Here is a 6,367-nt window from a genome sequence, read left to right as displayed (position 1 = left end):
CCGTGTGCAAGCCTACATTCTCCTGTCCACACCCGAGTTCCGCTAAGTATTTTACTTGGCTGGCATTGCCGTGTCTTTTTAGCCATACTAAAACGGCGTCTTTCATACCAGCTTCCTGTCTCACTGAAGATGGAGAAGTGTTTGTTTCTTGTCCGGCTTGGTGTGGTGCAACCGCAAGACTAAATCAGAGGCTCCCATTTTTTATCCCCATATATTTTTTAGGGCGTGTCATGAATTCTCGCTGTTAGTAACACACTTTTTCTAAATTTCAAAAGTTGTGTCTTTGAGGATTACAGTGGAGAGATTTTTGTCATCTCAATTCTCCTCGCAAAATTTTTGCCTTGGAATATTTTACAGGTGATCAAATGTCTATTTATTTATTTATTTATTTATTTATTTTTGAGGCGGGGTCTCACTCTGTCGCCCAGGCTGGAGTGCAGTGGCACAAACTTGGCTCACTGCAGCCTCCTCCTCCTGGGTTCAAGCCATTCTCGTCTCTCAGCCTCCCGAGTAGCTAGGATTACAGGATCATGCCACCATGCCTGGCTAATTTTTCTACTTTTAGTAGAGACGGAGTTTCACCATGTTGGCCAGGCTGGTTTTGAACTCCTGACCGCAGGTGATTCACCCACCTCAGCCTCCCAAAGCGCTGAGATTACAAGCGTGAGCCACTGCGCCCGGGCTTTTTTGAGACTGTGTCTTGCTCTGTCGCTCAGGCTGGAGTGCAGTGGCACCATCATAGCTTACTGCAGCCTCAAACTCCTGGGCTCAAGGGATCTTCTCACCTCCTGCCTCCCAAAGCACTGAGATTATAGGCGTGAGCCACCACACCTGGTCCAAATGTCCTTTCTAAATGGTGGTGGTCCTTTCTAAACTATGTAAGTCCCTTTTTGTTAGGGAGTTTCCTTTTTATCTTACGGAAAACGAGAGACATTGATATAGGAGTTAGGAAGAAATCACTTAAGCAGATAGTGAGGGTATGGAAGTCCTCAGTAAGGCTTTTTCTTTTTAATGAAAAGCAGTCCCAAATCACTTTCTAACAAAGAGCAGTGTGTAAAGTCTGCAGACATAGACAAGCAAATTGGGAGCTTGCACAGGTGAATGCGAGCAGGAACTAGGAGCTAGACATGTTCAGCATGGCAGATCCATTTTCCCTTCTCTGCCAGCCACGTGTACACTAAGGAGCAGAAAAGATGGCACCAGACAAAGGGAGAATTCACTTGCATAATAAGATTAGGGTAGGCACCCACCACCACGCCTGGCTAATTTTTGTATTTTTTAATAGGGACGGGGTTTTGCCATGTTGGTCAGGCTGGTCTCGAACTCCTGACCTCAGGTGATCTGCCCACTTCAGCCTCCCAAAGTGCTGGGATTACAGGCATGAGCCACCACACCCAGCCTCCTTTTCCTTCTTGAATCTGATCTCCAGATGACTCAATTACTTTGCAGTTCTATAATCTCACCCTCCTTCCCTCGTCAGTTCATTCTCGCATTTGCCACTGTACATTCTGGTATAAAATTTATTCTGGGGCCAGGCACGGTGGCTCACACCTATAATCCCAGCATCTTGGGAGGCTGAGGTGGGAGGATTGCTTGAAGCCAGGGGTTCCAGGCTACACTGAGCTATGATCATGCCACTGCACTCCAGCCAGGGCGACAGAGCAAGAAAATGTCTCTCTAAAAAAAAAAAAAAAAAAAAATTCTCTTTTTTGTTTGTTTATTTGTTTTTGGACAGTATTGATCTGTCGCCCACACTGGAGTGCAGTGGCATAATCACAGATCACTGCAGCCTTGACCTCCTAGGCTCAGGTGGTTCTCCCACCTCAACCTCCCAAACAGCTGGGAATACAGGTGCATGCCACCATGGCCAGCTCATTTTTGTATTTTTTTGTATAGATGGGGTTTTGCCATGTTGCCCAGGCTGCTCTCAAACTCCTGGGCTTAAGCAATCCTCCTGCCTTCTGCCCCCACCACACCTGGCCAAAAATTCTGTTCTTTACCTTCACAGTGGGGACCCCTTGGTTTCTCCTCCTCGATTTCACCCACTATCCCCGTAAGGACAAATGAAAGAAATGGAAGCAAGGAGATGCCCTGAGGAATAGCAACTCTTGTAAGCAGTGACTGGACTGCCGAATCCTGGGGTTCAACCACCAGCTTTCTTTGGGGGCCTCATCCTGTGTTAGGTTTCAACAGCTTCCTTGAAGTCTAAGCCACAGCTCCATCCTCATTTCCAAAAGGGTGTTCCCAAGTTGATGTTCCTTTTGGCTCTTCTCATACACATTTTTCCCCCAAATGTTCCAATAAGAAACAAATGTGAGCACTTCCCTACAGAAGTAAACTAAGAACCTGCGGAATCGCAGATGTTTAGAGGTGGAATAGCGCTAGGCCAGGGAGTATCTTTTTCCCACTGGGATGGAGCATAGGCCATGTGGATGTTTTCATTGACAATAGCAGCAATTTGACAAGAGTCCATGGATGGTGGTGTAGGACATGCCTCAAACATGAATCCAGACCATGCAGAGGCTTCACTCATCTATATTTTCTTTCTTTCTTTCTTTCTTTTTGAGATGGAGTTTTGCTCTTGTTGCCCATAATGGAGTGCAATGGTGTAATCTCGGCTCACTGCAAATTCCGCCTCCTGGGTTCAAGTGATTCTCCTGCCTCAGCCTCCTGAGTAGCTGGGATTACAGGCATGCGCCACCACGCCTGGCTAATTTTGCATTTTTAGTAGAGACGAGGTTTCTCCATGTTGGTCAGGCTGGTCTCGAACTCCCGACCTCAGTTGATCCGCTCGCCAAAGTGCTGGGATTACAGGCGTGAGCCACCGTGCCCGGAAGAATTTACTTTCTCCTCCCAGTTAATGTTTGCTCTCAGAAAGGAAGCTGATCAAGGTAATTTATGCCCTATGATTGCTTTTGAGATATAATATACATATCATAAAATTCACCCTTTCAAAGGGCACAATTCAGTGGTTTTCAGTGTATTCCAATGATGTGCAACCATCACCACCATATAATTCTAGAACATTTTTGTCACCCCCCGAAAGAATCTCTGTCCCCAATAGTAGTCATTCCCATTCCCCTCTTTCCCAGCCCCTGGCAACCAGCAATATATTTTCTGTTTCTGGGAATCTGCCTATTCTGGATATGCCCTAGAAAAGGCATCACAATATATGATCCTTCGCACCTGGCTTCTTTTACGTAGAATAGTGTTTTCAAGGTTCATCCATTTTGTAGCATGGATCAGCACTTGATTCCTTTTTATGGCTGAGTATTATTCTATTGTGTGGTTATATAGAACTCATTTGTTTTTTTGTTTTTTTATTGGGCTTTTATTTAAAAATACTTTTTTAAAATTATACTTTAAGTTCTAGGGTACATGTGCACAACATGCAGGTTTGTTACATATGTATACATGTGCCATGTTGGTGTGCTGCACCCATTAACTCTTCATTTAACGTTAGGTATATCTCCTAATGCTATCCCTCCCCCCACACCCATGACAGGCCCCGGTGTGTGACTTTCCCCTTCCTGTGTCCAAGTGTTCTCATTGTTCAATTCCCACCTATAAGTGAGAACATGCGGTGTTTGTTTTTTTGTCCTTGCGATAGTTTGCTAAGAATGATGGTTTCCAGCATCATCCATGTCCCTACAAAGGACATGAGCTCATCCTTTTTTATGGCTGCATAGTATTCCGTGGTGTATATGTGCCACATTTTCTTAATCCAGTCTATCATTGATGGACATTTGGGTTGGTTCCAAGTCTTTGCTATTGTGAATAGTGCCACAATAAACATATGTGTGCATGTGTCTTTATAGCAGCTTGATTTATAATCCTTTGAGTATATACCAAGTAATGGGATGGCTGGGTCAAATGGTATTTCTAACAACTCGTTTGTTTATCCATTTGTCACCTGATGGATATTTGTGTCGTTTCCATCTTTTAGCTGTTGTGAATAATGCTGCTGGGAACATTCGTGTACATATATGTGTGGACATACATGTGAAATATATGTGTGGACATATATTTCGTTTCTCCTGGTTGTATCCTTAGGAGTGGAATTTCTGGTTCACATGGTAATGCTATTTTTAATCTTTTGAGGAACTGTCAAACTATTTTCCAAACTGGTTACATCATTTACATCCACCACAACAACATATGAGGATTCTAATTTCTTTGTGTCTTCACCAGCACTTGCTTTTGTCTGTCTTTCTGATTCTAGTCATCCTAGTGGGTATGAAGTGGTATCTTAGTGGGGCTTTGATTGTCATTTCTCTAATGACTAACGATGTTGAACATCTTTTCATGCATTTATTGACCATTGTATCTTTTTTTTTTTTTTCTGAGACGGAGTCTTGCTCTGTCCCCCAGGCTGGAGTGCAGTGGCACAATCTGTACTCACTGCAAGCTCTGCCTCCCAGGTTCAAGCAATTCTCCCACCTCAGCCTCCTGAGTAGCTGGGATTACAGATGCATGCCACCACACCCAGCTAATTTTTGTATTTTTTAGTAAAGACAGGGTTTCGTCATGTTGTCCAGGCTGGTCTCGAACTCCTGACCTCAGGTGATCCACCTGCCTTGGCCTCCCAAAGTGCTGGGATTACAGGCGTGAGCCACTGCTCCTGGCCACCTCCTAATACTTTTAAAGTCAAATTAAAGCTAATTACTTACTATCCAGAAACGAACAAACCCAACATTTCTACCAGTCCCGCTGTGCATTATATAACCACTTCCTGACAGGAACAGAATGTTACACTAACAGGATTGACCTATTAGTCATTGTAGTTAAAGCGGACTTTAATTGGTCATATAATGTAAGTGCTTCCAATTTAACTCCACTCCCATGACATCATGAAATTTGGGTACTACAAAGGATTCTTGGCGAAAGAAAATAGAGATGAGCCAGGTGCAGTGGCTCACGCCTGTAATCCCAGCACTTTGGGAGGCAGAGGCCATTGGATCACTTGAGGCCAGAAGCCAACCTGGCCAACATGGTGAAACCCTGTCTCTACTAAAACTACAAAAAAAAATAGCCACGTGGTGGCACATGCACCTGTAGCCCCAGCTACTTGGGAGGCTGAGGCACGAGAATCACTTGAACCTGAGAGGCGGTGGTTGCAGTGAGCCAAGATCATGCCAGTGCACTCCAGCCTTGGTGACAGAGCAAGTATCTGTCTTAAAAAAAGAAAAGAAAAGAAAAGAAAGGGCCAGGCGTGGTGGTTCATGCCTGTAATCCCAGCACTTTGGGAGCCCAAGGTGGGCAGATCACTTGAGGCCATGAGTTCAAGACCAGCCTGGGCAACATGGTGAAACCCTATCTCTACTAAAAAATATAAAAATTAGTTAGGCATGGTGGTGGGCACCTGTAATCCTAGCTACTCGGTGGAGGGTGAGGCACAAGAATCGCTTGAACGAGGGAGGCAGAGGTTGCAGTGAGCCAAGATCGTGCCACTGCACTAAAGCCTGGGCAACAGAGCAAGACTCTGTCTCAAAAAAAAAAAAGAAAAGAAAAAAAAGTCAAGCCGGGCACGGTGGCTCACACCTGTAATCCCAGCACTTTGGGAGGCTGAGGCGGGTGGATCATTTGAGGTCAGGAGTTCAAGACCAGCCTGGCCAACATGGTGAAACCCCATCTCTACTAAAAATACAAAAATTACCAAGGCGTGGTGGCACATGCTTGTAGTCCCAGCTACCAGGGAGGCTGAGGCAGGAGAATTGCTTGAACCCAGGTGGTAGAGGTTGCAGTGAGCCGAAATCGTGCCACCACATTCCAGCCTGGGTGACAGAGCAAGACTCCATCCCAAACAAAAAAAAAAGAAAAGAAAAGAAAAGAAAAAAAAAAGTTGTTTCAGGCACCAAAAACCAGAAAGTGGACTTTTGAAAGGTTGCAAACAACAAAATATGTACATGCTTTTCTTGCAGCTAAGAAAGGGAAAAGATAAGAGAAATCCTGGCTTCAAGAAGAAAGGCTTAGTCGTCAAAAAGTTATTGAAAGTACGTAGTTCTTACTCAATTGCCTGGGCCTGCACACTAGTCCCAAGATGATCCCCCATAAGCTGCGCATGTTTGCGTGAAACAGGTTCCTCTAAGCCTGGCAGAAGTTTGCTGCCTTCCAAAAGCAGCTATCGGATAGCTGTTTGGTTATGTCGCACTGCCAGCTTGGGAAGGGAACTTGGGAATTTAATACTCACAGAGCATCCCCAGGAGAAAGACCAGCTCAGATCAGGTGACTTCGAACCTGGCTGGAATAATTACACACCTTCACTTCATAACAAAAAGAGATACCCGTTCAGTAACCTTAGAGGGGGATTTGACGTTTAAATTGTTAACAGACTTTGGATCAGAGAAATATTTGACAGGGAAAAGCA

This window comes from Homo sapiens, chromosome 10 (genome assembly GCF_000001405.40).
Source record: "Homo sapiens chromosome 10, GRCh38.p14 Primary Assembly".
Taxonomy (NCBI): Eukaryota; Metazoa; Chordata; class Mammalia; order Primates; family Hominidae; genus Homo; species Homo sapiens.
Note: the sequence above shows the minus strand (reverse complement) of the source record.